Source organism: Homo sapiens, chromosome 15, assembly GCF_000001405.40.
Source record: "Homo sapiens chromosome 15, GRCh38.p14 Primary Assembly".
NCBI lineage: Eukaryota > Metazoa > Chordata > Mammalia > Primates > Hominidae > Homo > Homo sapiens.
Genome location: NC_000015.10, coordinates 82,262,743 through 82,286,038, shown reverse-complemented (window position 1 = coordinate 82,286,038; position 23,296 = coordinate 82,262,743). Strand labels below are relative to the sequence as shown.

Genomic DNA, 23,296 nt, shown 5'->3' with positions numbered 1-23,296 from the left:
AGCCACTGCACCCGGCCTAGACTTTATTTTTTTAGAGCAGTTTTAGGTTCACAGCAAAACTGAGTGGAAAATATAGAGTTCCCATACGCCCCTCCTCCCACACACATGCACAGCCTCCCCCACTATCAACACACCCAGCCAGAGTGGTACATTTGTTATAGTTGAGGAACTTACATGGACACATTATCACTCAAAGTCCATAGTGTAGGTTAGGGTTCACTCCTTACATTGTCTGTGCAGTTTTTATAAATCATAAAGCCTTTATTTCTCATTTCAGTCCGTGGTCTTATTTTACACAACAAGGGTTTCCAGAGAGATAGGGTGGAAATGGGATGGGACTGGGGTAGAAACCTACTGACTTTTCTCTCTGAATTTTTCCTCCTTTCTTCATTAGATTTATCCAAGTTTAGCATAGTGGAAATTCCTTCTAGAATCTGGCAGATTGCTAAGTAATATTACTAGTTTCCAGCCCTGTTAAAATGTTTTTTGTGTGTGTTTCCACATAGTATTTCAAGGAGGCCTAACAGGAGAATGACTCAGGGATTGCTAGCTTTCCACCAACGTAGCTTGGAAGTCCCTTTAACTCTTTCACAGAGATAGAGGGTCCCTCTGTACCTATTTTTATGCTGTTCCCACCTTCCCATTTTTCTTGATCTGGCAATTTCCTACTTATCTTCCAAGATTCAGCTCACCTGTCCATCCTCTCCCTAAGGCAGACTTTCCTGAACTCCTAGGCTGAATGTCTTACATTGTTCTCTGTTTCAATCTCTATTTTCACACCTGTTATACTGAGTGTTAGATTATGGGGAAACGCCATTATTCATCTTCAATCCTTATCCCATGGCAAATTGCCTCTGGAAACTCTAGTAGATGTCTTATTAAGGGTGACCTTTGTCCAGGGAGGAGACCACCCCTATTAAATTACAGAGTGATTTGAATATCCAGCATTGGAATATGGGACGGGATGACAGAGTGCTGTAGTATTCCCTTCTTTTTAATTCTGATTACATTGTTTTGTATTTAAAAAGTAAGAACATCTACTTATGTATAGGTTAACCTAGACAGGACTTTATTAAAATGCTCTCTTAAAAAAAATTAGGTAAAGAAATGATTTCTTGAAAATCCATTCCTTTTATTGATTTTATTATGTTGCATGGAAATATAGTTTCACACACCATACTTTTACTAATAAATGTAAAGAACAAATTACTTTTGAACAATTAAAATAACCAAATATTGATTTTCAATAAAGTATATTTTGAAATAATTCTGAAGCCATAAAAGACTAAAATTCACTTTATGCTAAAATAAATCATATTCTCCCATAATGCAATTATTTAATTTTTTTAAAAAAAGAAACCACCCAATAAGAGTTTAATTCATTCGGAAATTTTTAGCATTTATAAATGCAATAGAGTGTTTCTACTATACTTACTGGCATCATTCTTTACCTTATCACTTATCTTCACACCGGAAGAGGTGAACCAGGTGATTATGCCCCCTGCTGGGGCTGGTTCTTCCTCTAAACAGTGACTTGGCCTGGCAATTAGGTGCAAAATTACCTACATTTACCCTAAAGATTTCTTCAGAGCTGTCAGTCTTCCTAAAACTACCCTAGCAAATAATACTTTTTCCTTTCTGCAAATACTGTTATTCAAACCACTGTATTTACCCCATTCCAAGCTTTCCATTCTCTGTTAAGAATTTCTCAGGTGCTCATGAAGTTTTAAAGGACAAGACTCCTCTCAGAAGTATATACTACTCATAAGCTCAAAGCAAATTAGGTTATTTTACAATCCTTGCTACAGGCCAGAAAATGAGCATTGAGTAAGTAATTATCCTAATTTGAAAAGGAGAAAACAAGTACAAAAAGAGATTGAGCAATTTTAAAAAAAAATCCTCCACATTTGTACTTTAAGGATTAAAATGTACCATACAGTCTGATGCTCAAAACAAACTCTTTTTGAGAACAGACATCATTTTACAAATAAAGACACTGAGGCTCAGAGATATGAGTCACTGCCTAAGGTAGTACAAATAGAAATCTATATTATTAGAACTTAAACTCAGGTTGGGTATAGTGGCTCATGCCTGTAATCCCAGTGCTTTGGGAAGCCAAGGTGGGATTCAATAGCAGCCTGGCCAATAGATTGAACAGCCTGACTAATACAGCAAGAACCTGTCTCTACAAAGTATGTTTAAAAAAAATAGCCAGGTGTGGTGGCACACCCTTGTAGTCCCAGCTATTTGGGAGGCTGAGGCAGGAGGATCACTTGAGCTCAGGAGGCTGAGGCTGCAGTAAGCTGTGATTATGCCACTGGACTCCAGCACGGGTGACAGTGAGACCCTGTCTCTAAAAATAATAATAATTATTAGTCAGAACTTGAACTCAAGTCCTTCGATTCCCAGCACACAGAGCCTTTCCTTGCCACACCACAGTGCCTCTTGCTAACTTGAACATGGTGAGGAGCAGTGCAGCAGTCTGTATACCACCAACCAAAACTTGATTCAGTGGATGCTATGTAGATGCCGTGAAGTCTGAGTATAATGAATCCTGTTGCCTTGGAAGAGGAATCCATGTATCATTTTCAATGTTGTTCTAGATAATCCTGATGTGCTTGATAAATGACAAATGGTATGTGAATAACCATACAATTGCCATAATTATAAACAGAATTACAAATGATAATAGACTGGGGACAAGCTACTAAGCAGTATGTTGAATACTAAAATAGTTCTCATGGGAATGCATATTATTCAACCTTCTGAAATGCACATTAAAGAACAATCTTGATTAAAATATCAATAAAAAATGGTTTTAAGATTCTGATTTCTTATAATATATTTTCCAATTTTCTTGTTTAAAAATATAAAAAATGATTTATTATATCATAAATTTTTTAACTATAAAAATTGAGTTTTCTCTTGGAAAAACAACAACTTGCTAGTACCTTCCTTTTAAGCACATTTTGGTTATTAGAAGGCCTTCACTGCAGGAATAATCTTGCGGAAGAATTTATGACCTTGGGAATTTGTATTGTCGAAAATATAACCTGGAGGAGAGGGATAGCTGGCTGGGCAAATTTCCTGTCTTTTCGGTGTGTACTCTACAGAGTACATGGTTACATCATCAAATGGAACAGAACTCTTAAAAGCAATATTTAAAGGTTTGCAACTCTCTGTTGGGATCAATTCATGTGGCACATAGTGAGATCTGAAAGTGCTCAAACCATCAAATTTTCCAGATGGGTTGGGAATCTGCTGCTGCTTCTTAATAAGTCCTTGACGACAACTTTCCCATGCTGGAAAATCTTCTTTCATGATGCTTTTTCCTTGGAAAGGAAAATTGTTACTTCTTTTTTGAGAAACTGGCCTGATGGGAACAACATGGTTGGCCTGATATGGAACATAGTCAAGATGGCTTGTGCTGTTTAACAGCATGCTACCTGTAGGAGGCACATACTCTGGTACTTTCTTGACCTCAGGTGGTGGGATTTCCCATGGTTGAAAACTTTCACGGAATTCAGTGCTTCCTTCAAACAGAGCATTCTGGGTCACTCTGGTGTGTACAGGTCTGCAGAGTTTTGCAGTTTCACCAATGAGACCCTGAAAGTCACACCGGTGAGTTGTGAGATCCTCAAAGCGTTGGTCAGTTGGTTTGTAAACTTCTTTTGGCCTTTCAAACTTGAGTTCAAGCTGATGAGGTATATAATCAAGGCGATGACTTGTAATACCATTAAAAGGGGCTGTAGAACGTTTGACCACAGAGGAGGGTTTAAAGCTTTGCCTAGGCTTTATCTCCTGAGGAACAAAATCATCCTGAAATGTAGTTGAATTTCCAAATTTCACAGTAGGCGGGTGGTAAGTTTGTTCTGGCTTATAAAGTTCACTTTTATGAAGGTCCCAAGCTCTATAATCGTCTTGAAAATTAAAACAAAGCAAAAACATTTTTAAATGCTGAAGAAAACAACCATCTTCTAAAAATCATAACTGACTTCTCTCATTGCCAAACATCTTTCCATTTCCTTTAGAAATCTAAACAATAGTATCAGAATACAGTTTCTCTGATTCCTTTCAGATTCGTTCTTTTTCTTCATTTCCACCTTCCTCTACCCATCTCCTCACTTTAATACATGTAACTTTCCACTTTCAGATTCATCTGATTACATAACAAAGGAAAAGCACATCTGAGCCTGATTGTGGATAGTTCTTGAAAGCCAAAAGGACTGTGTTGGAGGTGAGGACAGAGTTTAGGAGATTATGGTTGTATTCCTAGGAAGAGGTTGGGATTTTAATTACAACTCACAAAATGCTAAGGTACGTCTAAAAGCCAGGGCTTGAAATAAAATCAAGTGCCCTTCATGGGTGGGCAAAAGTAATACAGGTATTACTCCTTGCTTTGGAGAGACTCATCAAAGGGGAGAAAAATTTAATTCTGGTATACTCTAGGAAGCCTACAGAAAGAATTCCTTGAGCAAAGATACAGGGTAACTTGTGCTATCCCAGAAAGATCACTGGCTTCAACTTTCCCTCATGAAATGGACTTTAAGGCATTCCCAAAAGATAGAGGGCCATCTAGAGGCCAGAGGCCTTAACTGAATGTCTTCAGAGGTGTTTGAAATTGTAGAATTTCAAGTGACCATCAGAGCAGAGATCTGGGGTTTGGAAGTTAAATAACCTTAAGCTTACTCCTGCAGTTTACCTAGACTGTGGAGCATTTTGGGTCACTCTGGTGTATGCAGAATGATGACTTGTAACACCATTACAAGTTGGTGATAGTACACTTCACTAAAACTGAAATGTTTATATTTCAACTAAGGATTATTTGTGTTTTCTATTTCTCCATGAGGAAGATAGTAAGCTAGGAAATACCATAGAATTGACTTCACCCCAAAATATGTATTTCTAAATACCAAAAGTTAATTTATAAAAGATAGAAATTTATTACACAGGATAATGTACTAAAATCTGGACTAAAGTCTATGCAATATTTACAGGAAAGGTCAAACTTTGAAAACTTATTATGTGGATATCTTCTTTGAAGAGAAAAAATGCGTATCCATTTCTGCCAAAATGGCCAAGTATTGGACTAAATGATTAAGTTACTGATGTCTGGATGAGAGCGTGTACCTGACTCAAGAATAGGTGACCTTTAGGCCAGCAGAGACCTTTAAGACAAACTGACAGAAAAGATGAGCTAGATCAAGCATTGTTATTCTTGTAAACCTAAAATTGAAAATAATGAGTGAGATAGAAATGGGAGAATTGAAAAGGATGCCAGGAGGTAAAGCTAAGAGCTATGGAAAGCTGAAGTTACATTCAAAATAGACCTGTAAAGAAACAGAAATGATAACTAGGCAGAGGTGGCCAGTTAGTAAAGTGGCAATCAGAGCAGATGAGTGAAGGGAAGTGAAGATGCTGTGAGAGAAATCATGTAGCTTATTGCAGAGATGAAGGGAAAAGCTCTTCCTTCAAGCTCCCTGGGCACCTGATAGCTTTCCATTTTCAGTTCACATGAAGCTTTACCAGAGTCTTTTTTTTTTCTTGAGGTACCATGAGGGAATCTCTCTTCTTTGCAAACTACAGTATAAAAGTATAACACTATTTTTCACTAGCTAAAAGGAATCATAGATGTTATTGAAGGTTTATAGTTCCACACAATCATATAGGGAGAATTCTTGCTACCACACAAGAGAAAAAAGATTTTCATTATAAGAGAGTAAACAGAAGAGAATATTTCTCCCTCACCAAACCAGCTTTGGTTTTCAAAATGGAAGCAAGAATTTGGACACTGAGAGATGGATGTGATAGCATACAATAGTATGAATGTAAGTTCTACATAATTGCAGAAAATTGATTTTCTCCCTATAAATATGCCTATGCTCATATGCCTGGAATATTTATTATCTGTTATGGAATATTTGATAACATTCTAGCAGTATCTTTAAAACATCATAATCATTATCATCTGTTTTTAGTGTTTTATGATACTTATGGAAAAACAAGAAAACAATGCTGTCCATGTCTAACAATACAGTTTGGTTATGTGGCAGCTCCACTATCGCCCTTGTTAGATGTTTCCTCAGCTCACTTTTTATGTCTAGCCACTAAAATCTGGTTAGAAAGTTTATTCTCTTCTGAACAGGTTTAAGTCCAAGAAGTGCCTGCATGCACTTGCCCACTATTTGTATACACAGCTCCAACCCCATTTTAATATAGTGAGCTGTTCTAGGTTCTTCTTTGAGGACAAAAGTCTTGAGTTGCTTATGCTAGTTCTTTTTCCTGGTACTTGGGACTGCTCCCTGTGGTGTCTTGTGGTACCGAGGAATTGGAAACTACTTTTAGAAAGTAAGGGGACATCATCCTCGGCCTCAGCTTTTTCAATCTACATATCACCAATCTACTCCCATGGTTTTAATACTACCTGTAAGGTGGTGACTCCCAAACTTGAATCCCTACTTCAGACCTCCCTTCAAACACCAACCCACATATTTATCCACCTACTAGACATCTTTATTTGGATGTCCCTCAGATAAATGAAAACTTAGCATGCCCCAATTAATTATCTCACTCAGACTCACATTCCCCAGAAAATAACACATCAACAAAGTTTCTATTATGAATTTGGCATCTCAGGCTAAGGTTCTGTTTAATTGACTTTCTCTCCCTCATTTCCTTCTCTCCTTTTCAAGTGGTTTTCAAATACTGTTGATATTACCTTCTAAATATTAATGTCTTCCTTCTTGAAGCAAATATGGAATGAATGGCAACCTGATAAAATTGTCAAAAATAAGAAAAAGAAAAAAGAAGAGGCCACAATGTAAAATAAACGTCTATAAGGTCTATTCTCTTTCATTCTTGATATTTGTAATTGGTGTCTTCTCTCTTTTCATTTATTAACTTCATTATCTTTTAATAGAACCAATTTTTGGTTTCATTGTTTTTCTCTATTATTTTTCTGTTTTCAAATTTATTGATTGCTGCTGTTATCCTCATTTATTTCCTTCTGCTTTGCTTTGGATTTAATTTGCTCTTATTTTTCTAGTTTCATGCAATGAAGGTTTAGACTATTGATTTAAGACTTTCTTTTCTAATATGAACCTTAAATGCTATAAATTTTCTGAAAAGCATTGCTTTAGATGCATCTCTCAGATTTTGATGTACTATATTTTCATTTTCATTAAATTCAAAATATTTTCTAATTTCTTTTGTTACTTTTGCTTAAAGCCATTAGTTATTTAGGATTTTGCTGTTTAATTTCCAAATATTTGGAGATTTTCCACATTTTTTTCTATTATTGATGTCTAATTTAATTCTGTTATGATCAAAAACACACATTGCACGACTGCAAGTCTTTTATATTTGTTAAGGTTTTTTTTATGACTCTGAATATAGTTTATCTGGATGAAGCTTTCAAGTGCACTTGAAAAGAATGTATATTCTGTTATTGTTGACAGAAGTGCTTTACAAATGTCAATTTGGACAACATTGTTGATAGTGTCGTTCAGGTCTTTATATCCATATTCATTTCCTGTCTACGTTCTATAGATTACTTAGAGACAGTGTTGAAGTCTCCAACTACAAATGCATATTTTCACATTTCTTATGTTAGTACTATAAATTCTTGCTGCTTTGTATATTTGAAGCTTAGGATCTTGTGTTTGAGAAATGGAAAGCGGGTGTGTGGTGGTTTCTCTGTTGTCCCAGTCCAGCTTCAATCTTAGGCAGGCCCTGTGCCCCTGGGTCTCAGAAGCAGGGCTCTCTCAGAGCACCTGCCCTTTCACTTGATGTAGTAGGTCTCTAATTGTTGGTCCCAAGACAGTTTCCTGTTCTTTCTTCATGTTCAAGGTTTGGTTTTATTTTGCTTCTTCTTCTTGTTTTTCCTTTGTCTTTCATCAAGTTGCAATACATCTTCACCTATTCCTTGGGGTTGTCAGAGTGGTGCCTTTCCTGCAGTGGATTAATGCTTTTGCTCTGTAGGTTAGAGGCATTCAAATGGAGCTTCCTGCTTTTTTTTTTCTTTTGCAAAAACAACCATTTTTCTCTCCATGCCCGCACTATGAAGGAAACTTTCTGTGGTCTCCAGCCTTTCTCCCAATCTTTCTCATGATCACACAGTGAACATCCATAGGGAAGAGTCTATGAGTGGTTTTGAACTCTCCCTTTAGTGTCTGAAGTTCTCAGAGCTTCTATACTCTCGCAGTAGCTCATACTCAAGTCTTTAGCAATTAAAGATGTAATGAATTATTTTATTCACTTGTGTAACAGCTAGTCTTCATTCCATGCCCTGCTTTGGGTGAAACAGTGCTTGCCTCCTGTCTCAACTGGGTGGAAGTTGTTTCTCCTCAGATGTCAGGCTAATTGGTTAACCTGTGATCTCAGCTTTCTAAAGGATTCATAAACATTTATGATTTTGTAGATTATCTGGCTTTTTCTTATTGTTATGTTGGCAACATAATCTTTCTAGCCTTCTGCATCCTACACAGAATCTGAATATTCTGGATTTCTTTATGGTGAGGTTTAAAATTACACCTTCAATTCTACAAATTCAATTTCCTTTATAGATATAGGGCTATTTTGACTTTTTATTTCTTCTTGGGTTACTTTTGGTAAATTGTATTTTTCAAAAAATTTATCCATTTTATGTAAGTTGTAAATTATTGGCATATTTTTTAAAATAATATCTTTTTAATGTGTGAAAAATCAATCTTTGAATTTTAATCACAATATTTTGTTCATTTACACTTAATGCAATGATCTAGCTGGGCTTAAGTTGATTGTATTGCTATTTGCTTTTGACTTTTCCCTTCTTTGTTCCCATACCCCTTATTTCTTGCCTTCTTTTGTATTAATAAATGGCATTTGTATTATTCCACTTTACTATTTTAACTTTCTATATTTTAAAAATAAAAATGAATTTTTGACTTATTATGAGATTTTTCTGGCTCCAACTTAAATGGATATTTTTACCACTTCTAGCATGGAAGAACCTGTAAGCAATTTAATTCTATTTAAATCCTCTTGCCTTTTGTACTACTGTTCTAACATAATTTACTTTTATATTTGTGTAAAAACATAATATAGTAATTTTGACTTTGTCAATATTCTTTCATATTTACCCACATATGTACCCTTTCTGTGTGCTTCATCCCTTCCTGCATTTCATGCTTCTATCTGGAATAAGTTTCCTTTTAACTGAAGAATTTCCTTTAATGCTTTTTGTAGAAGGTATCTCAGCTTTTTCTTTTTTTGTCTGAAAACATTGTTAATTTGCTTTAATTTTTAAAGGCTATTTTTACTAGATACACAGTTTTCAGATTTGCTGGCTTTAAAATTCTAGATCCTTCTTGCACCTTCTGCATATGGTTTCATCCTTCTGCATATGGTTAGCCAGTTTTTCCAGCATCATTTATGGAATAGGGATAAACAATTTCCCCACTGTTTATTTTTGCCAATTTTGTGGACAATCAGGTGGTTCTAGGTGTCTGGCTTAATTTCAGGGGTCTCCATTCTGTTCCATTGGTCTATGTGTCTATTTTTGTACCAGTACCATGCTGTTTTGGTTACTGTAACTTTGTAGTATAGTTTGAAGTCAGGAGATGTAATGCCTCTGGTTTTATTCTTTTTGTTTAGGATTGCCTTGGCTATTCAGGCTCTTTTTGGGTTCTATATAAATTTTAGAATAGTTTTTCTCTAATTCTGCAAAAAAATGATATTGGTAATGTGCAGATTGCTTTGTGTAGTATGACATTTTAATGATATTGAATCTTCCTATCCATGATCATAGAATGCTTTTTCATTTGTGTAGTCTATGGTTTCCTTCTCCATGTAGAGATCTTTCACCTCCTTCATTAGATGTATGCCCAGGTACTGTGAGTGTGTATGGCTATTATAAATGGGATTATGTTCTTGATTTGATTCTCAGCTTGAAGATTATTGGTGTATAGAAATGCTACTGATTTTTGTGCATTGATTTTGTATGCTGAGACTTTGCTGAAGTCATTTATTAGGTCCAGGAGTCTTTTGGCAGAATCTTTAGGGTTTCCCATGTATAAATTACATTGTCAGCGAAGAGACATAATTCGACTTCCTTTTTTCCTATTTGGATGCCTTTTCTTTCTCTTGCTTGATTATGTTAAATATGAGTGATAACAGTGGGCATCCTTGTCTTGTTCCAGTTCTCAAAGGGAATGCTTCCGGTTTTTTGTCCATTCAGTATGATGTTGGCTGTGGGTTTGTCATAGATGGCTCTTACTATTTTGAGTTATGTTCCTTCAATGCCTAGTTTGTTGAGAGTTTTTATCATGAAGTGATGTTGGATTTTATTAAATGCTTTTTCTGCATCTACTGAGATGATCATATGATTTTTGTCTTTAACTCTGTTTATGTGGTGAATCACATTTATTGATTTGCATATGTTGGACCATCCTTGCATACCAGGAATAAAACCCACTTGACTGTGGTGAATTAACTTTTTGATGTGCTGCTGGATTTAGTGTGCTAGTATTTTTTGAGGATTTTTGCATCTGTGTTCAGGGACCATGGTCTGTAGTTTTCTTTTTCTTTTTGTGTTTTTGTCAGATTTTGGTTATCAGGATCATACTAGTTTCACAGAATGAGTCAGGGAGGAGTCCTTCTTCCTCAATTTTTGGAATACTTTCACTAGGATTGGTACCAGCTGTTCTTTCTATGTCTGGTAGAATTCAGCTGTGAACCCATTTGGTCTGGGGCATTTTTTTTTTTTTTTTTTTTTTTTTGGTTGATAGGTTTCTTACTACTGATTCAATTTCCTTACTCGTTATTGATCTGTTCAGGATTTCTGTTTCTTCCTAGTTCAATCTTGGGAATTTGTGTTTCCGAATTTATCCATTTCCTCTAGACTTTCTAATTTGTGTACCTAGAGAAGTTCATAATATTCTCTGAGGATCTTCTGTATTTCTGTGGGATCAATTGTGATGTCACTTTTGTGATTTTTGATTGTGCTTATTTGGATGTCTTTTTTTGTTAATCTAGCTAGTGGTCTATCAATCTTATCTTTTCAAAAAATGAACTTTTTGCTTCATTGATCCTTTGCATGGTTTTGAGGGTCTCAATTTCATTCAGTTCTGCTCTGACTTTAATTATTTCTTCTGCTAGCTTTGGGTTTAGTTTGTTCTTATTTTGCTAGTACTTTTGGTTGCAATGTTAGGTTGTTAATTTGAGATATTTCTATCTTTTTGATGTAGGCATTTAGCATTATAAACTTTCCTCTTAACCCTGCTTTTGCCACATCCCAGAAGTTTTGGTATGTTGTGTCTCTATTTTTATTTATTTCAAATACTTTTTTTTTTTTTTTTTGAGACAGAGTCACGCACTGTTGCCCAGGCTGGAGTGCAGTGGTGCAATCTTGGCTCACTGCAACTCCACCTCCCGGGTTCAAGATATTCTCCTGCCTCAGCCTCCTGAGTAGCTGGGATTACAGGCACCCATCATCATGCCTAGCTAATGTTTTGTATTTTTAGTAGAGATGGGGTTTCGCCATGTTGGCCAGGCTGGTCTCAAACTCCTGACCTTGTGATTCACCCGCCTTGGCCTCCCAAAGGAGGACAGTGAGAGTATCTTCCCATTGTGGCTTCTCTTCAGCTGTAGAATTGTTTTTAAATAGGTTATCTACAAAACCTGCAGCACATTCATACAGAGTGTGGAAGTACAACCTTGGCTCTTAGTGTTTTTGTTGTCTCATGCCTGAAAATCTGAAATACAAAATATCACCTTTGTTGACTAAGAAAGTTCAGTAGTGAGAATGCCAGAGGAACTCAAAATTCTTTATCCTTGAACTACAACCATAGGAGTGGAAGTATCAGAATCTACAGGAAACCCAGGTCATGGAAAGCTAGTAGTGTTGGTATAAGTGTGTGCGTGTATTGTGTGTACATGTTCCCAGCATCGGGGACAACAGTATTACTGGTATTTTTCTTATGGATCTTGTAGAAAAAAAGAAAATCTTACTGTGATTGTATAAGAGACCAAATATAGTGGCTCATGCCTGTAATCCCAGCACTTTGGGAGGACAAGGCGGGCGAATCACAAGGTCAGGAGTTTGAGACCAGCCTGACCAACATGGTGAAACTCTGTCTCTACCAAAAATACAAAAATTAGCCAGGCGTGGTGGCGCACACCTGTAATCCTAGCTACTCAGGAGGCTGAGGCAGGAGAATTACTTGAACCCGGGAGGCGGAGGTTGCAGTGAGCTGAGATCATGCCACTACACTCTAGTCTGGGTGACAGAGCAAGACTCAATCTCAAAAAACAAACAAAAAAAGAACAAATTCATTTTCATCAATTATTATTTATGCCAAATTTGGCACAGTACATTTTCTCCTACGCATATCAATCTATTTATCAGCAATTACTCTATGCTACATTTAATTATAATATACTTCTTCACCATTCACATAGTCTTCACAATTTGTTCTTTGTGTAGTATGTTATGTGCTCAAAGATTTAAAAAACAGAAAAAACATTTTCTTGACCTCCCTAATAGGTAGGCTGATAGATGAAAGCATATTGATATCCTGCACTTTACTTACTCGTTGAATGGGTAGGCGTGAAATTTAAAGATAAAATAGGCATTTAACTATTACCTAAATAAAGTATGAATCATTACTTTGATTATTGATGGTATCACTCTTACAAAAGTGTTTTATATTAGGACATATCCATTCAGCTATTTTACATAACCAATGGAAAAATGTAATCCTATATATGTAATTACATTATTAATAAAAAGATATAAAAGTAATATCTACTATCATAAATCAAAATCAAAATAGGCCTAAAATAGCCTATTTTTAGGCCAGGTGCAGGGGCTCACATCTGTAATCCCAGCAGTTTGGGAGGCCGAAGTGGGTGCATCACTTGAGGTCAGGAGTTTGAGACCAGCCTGGCCAACATGGTGAAACCCCATCTCTACTAAAAGTACAAAAATTAGCTAGGCATGGTGGCGGGTGCCTGTAATCCCAGCTACTCAGGAGGCTGAGACAGGAGACTTGCTTGAACCCAGGAGACAGAGGTTGCAGTGAGCCAAGATTGCGCCACTATACTCCAGCCTGGGCAACAGAGTGGGACTCCATCTTGAAAAAAAAAAACAGCCTGTGTTTAAAAAACAAAGACCCCATTCCTCAAAAGTACTAGAGTATTTTAAAATCAGGTTTTTGGGCCACGCGTGGTGGCTCACGCCTTTGATCTTAGCACTTTGGGAGGCTGAGGTGTGTGGATCACTTGAGGTCAGGAGTTCGTGACCAGCCTGGCCAACATGGTGAAACCCCATCTCTACTAAAAATACAAAAAATTAGCTGGGCGTGGTGGTGTGCACCTGTAATCCCAGCTACTTTGGAGGCTGAGGTGGGAGAATTGCTTTAACCCAGGAGGTGGAGGTTGCAGTGGGCCAAGATCGTGCCACTGCACTCCAGCCTGGGTGACAGAACGAGACTCTGTCACAAAAAAAACCCAAAAACAACAACAACAACAAAAAAACAGGTTTTTGGAAAGAAAAGCATACATGGCCCAACTTGTACTCCTCTAAGTCAGTTGCCTGCAAAGAGAAAGTATTCTCACCCTTCCACCATCCCAGAATTCTTAGAGGAGCAGGACCCCTATGTGGTAGTCTAGCACTGTCTATCATGGGGTAGATAAGCCTATCTAATTCTGAGGTTCAGTATCAGGAAGCGTCTGCTTACAGATGAAAAGTTCATTCTCTACTTTGTCCTTTATCAGTGTAAAAGCAGTATTTTGCTTCTCCATCTGGCAACTCTTTTGCTTTATAGGTTGGTTCAGGACTTGAATGGAGAAAAGCATTGCTATTTATTTGACCTCAAAGATCCCAATACTCTCGGTAGAGTTTCAACTTTTTCTAGGATGGGAAGAAAAGAACAATGCCAACTAAATGTGACACAAAGTGACAAATGTGACATAATGCTTCTTTAATGGCATCCTTTGTTTTTCATGTTTTGAGACAGAAAACTAACAAAGTAGATGAATTTGGATGGGATTGTGGGTCTTTTACCACTCAATCAGACAAATGGCCTATTTTCTTTTGTTACTATACAATACTATTTTGCCAAAGAGAGAAATGTTCTTTCCTAAGCCATGGAGGCTAAGTTTGGCAGCACACCAAAGTTATAATTTGATATTAGATGTTAAAGCTGGAAGTGAGTTTTAGTTTTTTGGCTCCTTCATGTATGAAACAGCAAGTTACCTTTATAGGTTGGGACAGTGTCCAATTTTCCTTTTTTAACTTGTCTCTCCAAAGGCCGGACTATTGCCACAGGCTGCACTTTATACGAATTCAAATCCCGTTTGTAGGTAGTACCAAGATCAATCTTCCCTTGTTTTGGTTTATATTCTTCTGGCACATGGCGAGGCTGTTTAACTATTTCATAAGGACAATAATCCGACCTGAAATATATAAATTTGAAACATAGCCTCACAAGTTCTTTTATTCCTAATTATTTCAATGAAGTATGGAAAATGTCAAGGCTTTTTTTTCTTTTTTACTGGAAAAGTCTGAGAAGATATTAAAATGGTAATAGTTGATAAACTACTTGAAAGAGGTAACTGAATTTCTTATAAGGTCCTATCCAGTGACTAAATATCTTGAGAAAAGTAAATATATCAAAAATCCTAGTTTTTAAAACATCATTACAATAGATCTCAGTTAATCGGATCTTCAGTAAATAATATCCTCAAGTAATTGATTTTTTTTCTAACCTGGAAGGAAATTTCAGGTAAAATTTACTAAACCTGAAAAGTTTAAAAAATATATTACCCCTGAGTCCACTTTGTCAAAGTCCTTATTCATCTTACTTACAGTCTCCAGCAAACTATTTTGGCATACTTTCTTCTTTTTGAATTCATGCTGTTTTCTCGCTTATTGTTAAATGATTAGTAACTCTGGTCTTTAGACATAAATCACATTCAGATTATAGATTTGAGTGTTCCTAATCTTTGGATCTCCCAGAAGTCCTTGTCATGGATGGATGCCAGATGGTAACGCAGCCAACCTGGGTACTATGTAACATTATGTGACAGAGGTAGTACTGCAGACACTGAGGTAAAAACTGAGGAATGGAGAAGACCACAAACTTAGACTGATCAGGCCACCTAGGTCCAAATCCTGGTTCTGTCATTTACTAGCTGCAGGACCTTGGATAACTTCATTAACCTGTTTATGCCCCAGTTTCTTTATATATAAAATGGAACAATAATATCTTCTATCTCACAGAGTTGTTTTAAGGATATACACACATGCTTTGAAGACTGCTTCGTACATAGTAAGATCAATATGGTAGCCACCACTATTACTACCCCAAGACTTCAGGGATTGCTTTTTTCTTCTGGACTCTATTGACACGTGACTCATTTTGTGATTAAACTATCTTGTATTAACCAATATTTGCTGCGTATGTCTGTAAGTTCCCCAAAGAAACCCAAAACCCTCACTGAATTCTTCTATTCACAACATAACTTCTTAGACTAATTAACTGTTTTCTCACCCACTTCAATCCATTTCAGTCTGGTTTCCAGCACTGCCACTTCCCTAATACAGCTCTAAAGTTCACAATGTCTTCCATGTGATTAAATTCATCGAACATTTTTAGTCCTCATCTTACCTGACCTCTCCAACAGTAATTGACATTATTGTGCACACTGTCTGTTTCTAGGAAACTTTCTCTTCCCGACTTCCTGATTATTTCTTTCCAGTTTCCTATGTAGCTTCATCTACCTCTACTCCATCATTAAATACATGTTAGCGTTCCTCAAGACTTGGACCTACCTACACATTCTTCTTCTCATCCACTGTTCACTCCTGAGGATAACTCTTCTACTCCCACAACTTAGATCACTACCTAGATCGAAATAACCCTCAAATTTACATCTCAGCTTGGACCTCTTCTGTGAGCTTCATACCAGTATCTATGATGGTCTCTTGGATTCAATGCCATTGGATTCGATGGCAACTCAACACTTAATACGTCCCAAATCAACTCGCTATTTCCCCTCAATAAATGTGGTCCTTTTTGCTTTTTCTCTATTTAAGTGAACACTATCACCATCCTTTCAGACGCATAGTCAGAAATCTAGGACTCACCCTTTATACCTCAATTCTCTCCCCTATCTAGTCCATCATCAACTACTGTCAATTTTGCCTCATAAATATCCCTCAAATCTAACCACTTTTCTCCACATCTGCCACCACCATAATATGCAAAGTTTTTGCAACAGCTCATTTGAATCACTTTAATAACTTTCGAAACTCATTTACCCACATCCACTTTAGTTCTCCCTCCAATCTTTTCTCCACATGGCACCTGAAGTAATTCTTTCTCATGTAAATCTGATCAAGTCATTCCTGCCCTCATCTCCCTAGCCTCTTCCTTACCTTTCTTCCTCCCCAAGTCCACCCTCCACCCTCCACCAAAAAAACAAAACAGAAAAACCTTCATGGCTTCTTATTACTGTAGGACATAGACAACACTGAACATGGTTTAAAGGCTCTGCCTGGTCTTCTTCACTAGCCTCAACTCTCACCGTTGTTTCCTCTTGCTTTCTCTGCTCCACCTGGCTTTCTTTGACAATTTTCTCCTTTCCATGCTCCTTCCTGCTACAAGCTACTCTCTCTCTCTACTTGGAATGCATTTCCTTCCCCCTCTTAATCCAGTTAATTTGACATCCTTCAGGTTTTGACTCATTTTTCTCATTCCCCTGATAAAGTCAAACTCTTGGTCTGGTTGTCAAGGTACCTGTGCCTGTCCTTCATAGATTTTATCACTGTTGCAGTTTTAGAGTTATTTTGAGTAATGTTTTGATTGCCATTTCTAATAGATTGTAATATCTGTCAGCACAGAGATCATGACTGCTTTTGTTCACCACTGTATACCAGGTGACTAGTATAGTGCTTCATGCTTAATAAATGCTTAATAATTTTTTATTTAATGGATGAAGAGTAGTAGAAATCACATACCTCTGCTTGTCAAGACATCTGAGTTGTTCTTTGCTCTTCCCAAATACGAACTAGAGGGGAATAGGCTAAAATGCAGTCAGGAAGTGAGAGAATCAGGAAGGGAAAAGCAAAGAGTAAGCTCAGAAGTCCCAGTTTCTCTGGTTAGACTATTTAAGTGTCAGAAAGTATGCCTCCAAACCCAAAGCAGCTTTCTATGGAGTAGTAGTAGAGGGTGAATGCAGTCTTATTCATCTGATATATCCTGAAACATTTGATGTGTCTAGAATCCTACTCGTTCAGGGCAGGCTTCCTGCCAACTCTGGCAGTCATCTAAGTGAGCTACAACTGTACTGCTATAAAGGATCCAAAATCTTGTACAAGTTCAGACACCTCTTTACACAGTCACTTCCTGTACTATACAAAGGTACAGAATGCTTCTTTGTTTGTACAGATAAATCCACTTTCTACTGCCTAGTCAACACAGCCAACATGAGAGAGTCAAGCAAGAGTTTCAAGCTCCTAGATTATGACTCTTAGAAATACTGCTAGTTTCCCAGTGAAAATATAAAGAAAAGATCCGATGTCTTACTAAGTGAAGAGATGACACTTTAATAAACAAATATTTTAGTTTTACTGGCATATATGGACCTTTGGGACATTTCTTGTTTTGTTTTGTTTTTTAAATTATTAAGGCTTACTTGAATAAGTCAACAGGGGAAATCCAGAATTGGAAAGCCTTTTAAAAGAAAGATATGGCAGGTTAAATTTTCTCAATTTCTACATTTAGAACTGGTTAAAAGCAAAATCTTTGTTCAATAAACACAAATATTGTAAAATTTATTTCAAATCTCTAATATGAACCATTAAGGCATCAAGAAAAAAATATTAATAAATTAAAGTGAAGAAAAAAGAACAACCATTCCCATTTAATCAATCTCAACCAGTTATTCAATTTCTTCATCTCATTTATCATAATCCATAATTATCTTAGTTATTTAGCTGATATTTTTATTTCTGGACTTTCCCACAGACTATAAACAACAGTAAAGCAAAGACCTTCTCTGTTTTATGTTCCATGTCATCCTCATTAAGCAGTCCAGTGCCTGACCTGCTGCACTCAATCAGTGGCAACAGAATCACCACCAATGCTGGTTAAAAATGCAGTTTCCTGAGACCCACTCTATTATCTACTGGCTCTTTTAGATAGAGCTCTGGAGTCTGCAATTTTAACACTTCTAGATGGCACTACTGCATACCAAAATCTGAGGACTAAGTAAAATCTTCCATCTATGGAAGAGCCATACCCCTACACTAGTAACTAGAGTCACCAAAATATTATTACTGCAAGGAATGCCTGAAATGTTAAAAATATAAATATTAGACTAAAAGTTGGAAAGTCTCCACCTTTGCTATATAAGAATGAGCTGCATCTGAAATGAAAATAACTAACACCAAAATCTAAAGCTATTACAGAGCATTTTTAAAACCCTAAATTATAGAAATATGATGTCTGAGTTCCCTGAAAGCAGGAACTTCAACTTGTGAAAGGAAGATAAATCTTGGAGTCCCAAAATCATTAAGCTAAGGGGAAAAGTGAAGCTGGGAAATGCTTAGGGCAAAGCTGTCTCCCATTCTATTCAAAGTCACCACTCTGCTCACTGAGATAAATGCATATCTGATTGCTTCCTTTGGAGAGGCTCATCAGAAACTCAAAAGAATGCAACTATTTGTCTCTTATCTACATATGACCTGCAAGCTCCCTCCCTGCTTCCAGTTGTCCCGCCTTTCCGGAAGAACCAATATTCATCTTACATATATGTTGACTGATGTGTGTGTCCCTAAAATGTATAAAACCAAACTGTGCTCTGACCACCTTGGGCACATATTATTGGGACCTCCTGAGGCTGTGTCACTGGCATGCACCCTCAACCTTGGCAAAATAAACTTTCTAAATTAACTGACACCTATCTCAGATATTTGGGGTTCACAAACTTGACATTTTTATACTTAACACTAAGATTGTACCTTGAATACAGCACATACATTAACAGTTTAAATAAAATAATGAGTAAATGTAATACTTAATCCACCTGACAAAAATACAGAGATCAAAAAAGGTAAGTCCAAATGAAAAGTATAGACTTAAGAGGATTTTTGTTCATCACTCACTGAACAAATATTGGGTACCTAGTATGTGCTAGTAGGCATTGTATTCGTTTTCTAAAAATAGAATGCTGAGATAACAATAGACTTAGTTCCTGCTTTCATGAAACACTGAAACTAATCTAATGATAAATAACAGGAAGGTGCTTTGGGAGCTTACATAGAAGAATTTTACCTAATCTGAAAAGTCTCAGAGAAGGCTTTTTCAAGTGATAATTTAGTTGAGATCTATAGATTGAATGAGCATTAGCTAGGAGAGGGAAGGAAAACTACAGGTAGGGAAAACAGTATCTTGGAAGACTCTGAGACAAGGGAAACCTGGCACTTTCAAGGAAATGAAAAATGGCCCATGGAATGGAGCATAAAAGAGTGAAAAGGACACTACAGTGAAAATGAATTAGAGAAGTAAATAGTGAGCAAACCATGCCTCTACATGATTTTGGTAAGGATTCTGGTTTATATTAAAGATAATGGGAAAGTTTAAGAGTATCTTAAGCAGAGAAGTGATAGGGTTTGGTTTGCATTTTAAAATTATTTGGGCAGGCTGAAGTATTGAAAACAGATCAAACTGCAAAAACTAGAGTAGATTCAGATATTATACTTAGAAAGTGACTGCATTCCTCTAGGTCAGGCTTGTCCAACCTGCGGCCTATGGGCTGCATGCAGCCCAGGACAGCTTCGAATGAGGCCCAATGCAAATTCGTAAACTTTCTTAAAACATTATGAGATTTTTTTGTGATTTTTTTTTTGTTGTTGTTTAGCTCATCAGCTATGGTTGGTGTTATTGTATTTTATGTGTGGCCCAAGACAATTCTTCTTCCAATGTGGCCCAGGGAAGCCAAAAGATTAGACACCCTACTCTAGGTGGTGGTGACAGTGGAAAGTAGATAAATATGAGATATTTTAAGAAGTTAAAAAAAAATAGAACTTTTTATATCCCTTTTTTCTTCTCACACTTTGTCAACCTAACTTAATTCTCATTTTTCTGTTTTTTTTTTTCAAGTTGTGACTTAACTAGTCTCTTGACTATTAGATTGGTTCAACTTAAATCAACTGAACAGTTCAATTTAAATAGCTAGAAAACTTTATTGACACCAGAAGAGTTGAGAGAAAAATAAGTAAAGCAAATAGTTACTAAATATTTACTTAAATGTAGTTATTCCTTCCATTTTACCATGGCATGCTCGAATTTCTTGCTTGGCTTTAAGACTCTGAGGTGGAAGAACATTGTCATACATAGGATATTTTTCCAAATATTCAGTTGTAGGGCAAAACACCCCAGAATTTTCATAAATCCTTGTGGTTCCACGTGGACAATGATGTCGCCTGTGCAAAAAATAAACTGAAAGATTAACCTTAAAAAAATTTTGTGTTATAACTGCGTTTTAATCAGAGACCTCTAATAAACTCACAATTTCTAAATTCTAGAGCTTTACTAAAAAACCAAAAACTGGGCCGGGCACAGTGGCTCACGCCTGTAATCTCAGCACTTTGGGAGGCCAAGGCAGGCGGATCCCAAAGTCAGGAGATCGAGACCATCCTGACTAACACGGTGAAACCCCGTCTCTACTAAAAATACAAAAAAATTAGCCAGGCGTGGTGGCGGGTACCCTGTAGTCCCAGCTACTCAGGAGGCTGAGGCAGGGAAATGGCGTGAACCTGGGAGGCGGAGCTTGCAGTGAGCCAAGATCCTGCCACTGCACTCCAGCCTGGGTGACAGAACAAGGCTCTGTCTCAAAAAACTAAAAACAAAAAAACCCCCAAAAACTGTTTCCTCTGTAATGGTGTTTACAAAAACAATCAATAAATAATGGTCTATCCCTATGTGGTGGAAGCACAGCAATTAAGTGTCTCATAACAATTTAGTGTCTTCTTACACTATAGAAGCTGAAAAGCTAATAGGGAATTTCCCATGCTCTTGCAGAAAGGTTCCACATACAATTTAGGTTTCACCTACTATGTGTATTCACATGATACTTTGATTCAGAAGAGAGCTACATAAGGAGAGAGTCAAGGCACAACATTTATTTTGCTTGCATGGAACATAATAGAGGCAACAAGAGATTGGAGCTAGAAGTTGTTAGGCGGCATCTTGATTTGCAAGCTGGTTTCCTAACTTGGCAGCTTCTTGACCTTGGAAGAGACGAGTGATTCTGGAGTCTACAGCTCTGTTGCAATTTTCTGATTATGGCAGAGGCAGTGGCTCCCTTGTCAGTCCTGGTCTGTGGTAAAATTTTTGTGGAAGCTTATTTTGAAAATGATTTCTTAAGTTCTTCCAAGTGAACTATATATATACTCCTTAATAAATTCCTTTTTGCCTAGACTAACCAGAGGAGATTACGTTATCCACAACTAAGAACCTTGACCAATATATCATATAAGCTAATAGTATACAGTTATTTAAGAGAATGAGGGTGGTCTTTATGCATGATCATTGGAAGTTGGTGAGATTGTAAATAGTAAAAAACCGGATTGTAGAATAGTATGCTCAGAATATTCTCTTTTTTTGTTAAAAAAAAAAAAAAATCAATGCAGGCCAGGCGCAGTGGCTCACGCCTGTAATCCCAGCACTTTGGGAAGCCGAGGCAGGCAGATCATGAGGTCAGGAGATGGAGGCCAACATGGTGAAACCCCGTCTCTACTAAAAATACAAAAATTAGCTGGGTGTGGTCGCACGAGCCTGTAATCCCAGCTACTCAGAGAGGCTGAGGCAGGAGAATTGCTTGAACCCGGGAGGCGGAGATTGCAGTGAGCCGAGATTGCGCCACTGCACTCCAGCCTGGCAAGAGAGCCAGACTCTGTCTCAAAAAAAAAAAAAAAAAAAAATCAATGCATATGTAAAACAAGTCTTAAAGAACATTTGTTATCTGTGGAAGATAGAATTATGAAGGCGTTTTACAATATTATAGATATTTTTGCTTAGATTTTTATGATACTTCTTGTGTATTTATTGCATTGTCAAAAAATAAAAATAAACCCTTAAAAAGACAAAACTAACAACCACAGCCCAAAACAAACAAACAAGAAGTAAAATCACGCCATTCCAATGGTGGCCCTCAACATAATGAAGACTGAATTTCCTTACAGTTGAATGAGAAAGGAACTTGCGTTGAATATAAATTAGGAGAAAAGTAAAAATTTTCTCCTGCACACCAGTCTGAGGATTCATACACCCAAAGTTAATTTGTTGATATTTTAATCTATATATAATTATGAACTGTGTTTATTATGAGACTATTAAAAAAACTGCTTTCCATCAACATGTAGGTGTTTTCTTTGAATGGGATTACAAATACACCAGGGATTGACAACGTTCATATTTACTTAGCAAATAATGATCTAATCCCTGGGTCAATAGTGAAGCTGAGGAAGGAGAGGACTGTGTTTACAGGTGATGGAAGGTTGTTAGGCAGGACTCACAGTTGGATTCTAGATTTCAGGGTAGGGACTACTTACTGACTTTTCAGTCAGGCGGATCCCAAAGAACTGCTGCCTGGACGGGAATGGGAATATGGTCTGGCTGGGAGGACAGAAAGCTACAGATGAAAGAAAATGTGATATGGGTTGCAGACTCAGGGCCTTGAGCACTGTTCTTTCTCATCTTCGTGGTGGGGGATTATGGGGTGGAAATGCACTCTCCCAGTCGGATCACATCCCACTACTCACCAGCGTTATATCCCGTCGCGGCTTCACATATATTACTTACCTGGCCCGGGTGGCATTTTACTTTGCATCCTTGATTGGGAGTCTCAGGGGCTACGAACAAACGTTTTACCCCCGGGTAGCAGGCGGGTGAGGAGCGAGTATTCGCGGAGCGGGATAAGTGGGGATGTCGCTGCGCCCTCGTCCCTTCATCTCCGGGGGACGGCCACTCTCAGGGTTCCCGAGGAGCCGGCTCCGTGCACCTAGGCCCTAGGTCGGCTCCCAAGCCCGGGCCCGCCGCTACACCAGCCGTTTCTTACCCGCAGCTACAAATCTGACACAGACACCAGCTCCTCATACTCTTGGCTCCCATGCTTTCCTCCACCGCGCCTCAGCACTTGCAGCTTCTCCACTCCCACAGCGCCCGCCGTAGTCAAGGCAACAGAGGGATGCCCGGTGACAGACTCGGCGCCGGCTTCCGGCGGCGTCAGAGACGTGCGGGTGAAAGGT

At 37.6% G+C, this 23,296-nt stretch overlaps 1 protein-coding gene across 13 annotated transcripts, besides 3 other annotated features; it reads right to left on the bottom strand.

Moving 5' to 3' along the window:
* Window positions 1–1,111: 1,111 nt before the first annotated feature.
* On the bottom strand, window positions 1,112–23,221 carry SAXO2 (stabilizer of axonemal microtubules 2). 13 transcript variants are annotated; one of them, XM_047432398.1, is made up of 6 exons: window positions 23,107–23,221; window positions 22,851–22,900; window positions 20,319–20,470; window positions 17,680–17,717; window positions 14,237–14,436; window positions 1,112–3,920 (listed from the first exon to the last, which is right to left on the bottom strand). In XM_047432398.1, exons 2-6 carry the CDS (start codon window positions 22,876–22,878, stop codon window positions 2,977–2,979), a joined length of 1,362 nt encoding a protein of 453 aa, XP_047288354.1. In that variant the 5' UTR covers window positions 22,879–22,900; window positions 23,107–23,221; the 3' UTR covers window positions 1,112–2,976. The 13 variants fall into 13 exon arrangements, 11 of the variants coding, with proteins under 11 accessions (XP_047288354.1, XP_024305670.1, NP_001335630.1 ...); XM_024449902.2 differs by having other exon boundaries at window positions 22,851–23,221; NM_001348701.2 differs by lacking the exon at window positions 17,680–17,717 and having other exon boundaries at window positions 20,291–20,470.
* Window positions 18,393–18,953: an enhancer, noted in NCBI's record as "OCT4-NANOG hESC enhancer chr15:82559427-82559987 (GRCh37/hg19 assembly coordinates)". NCBI's record gives its function as "activates a minimal SCP1, AML or CMV promoter by ChIP-STARR-seq in primed H9 embryonic stem cells {active_cell/tissue: H9 hESC(primed)}" and the evidence as "EXISTENCE:reporter gene assay evidence [ECO:0000049][PMID:30033119]".
* Window positions 23,001–23,070: an enhancer, noted in NCBI's record as "active region_9962". NCBI's record gives its function as "activates an Ori minimal core promoter by ATAC-STARR-seq in GM12878 lymphoblastoid cells {active_cell/tissue: GM12878}" and the evidence as "EXISTENCE:reporter gene assay evidence [ECO:0000049][PMID:35858748]".
* Window positions 23,091–23,180: an enhancer, noted in NCBI's record as "active region_9961". NCBI's record gives its function as "activates an Ori minimal core promoter by ATAC-STARR-seq in GM12878 lymphoblastoid cells {active_cell/tissue: GM12878}" and the evidence as "EXISTENCE:reporter gene assay evidence [ECO:0000049][PMID:35858748]".

Excerpts from the sequence above, each read along its gene's own strand:
- SAXO2 (NM_001348699.2), bottom strand. The coding sequence starts at position 23,159 with ATGGGAGCCAAGAGTATGAGGAGCTGGTGTCTGTGTCAGATTTGTAGC. Across the intron at positions 20,471-23,106 it reads TGTCAGATTTGTAGCTGCGG|GCGACATCATTGTCCACGTG; the intron begins GTAAGAAACGGC and ends TTTTTTGCACAG. Across the intron at positions 14,437-20,290 it reads GAAGGAATAACTACATTTAA|GTCGGATTATTGTCCTTATG; the intron begins GTAAATATTTAG and ends TATATATTTCAG.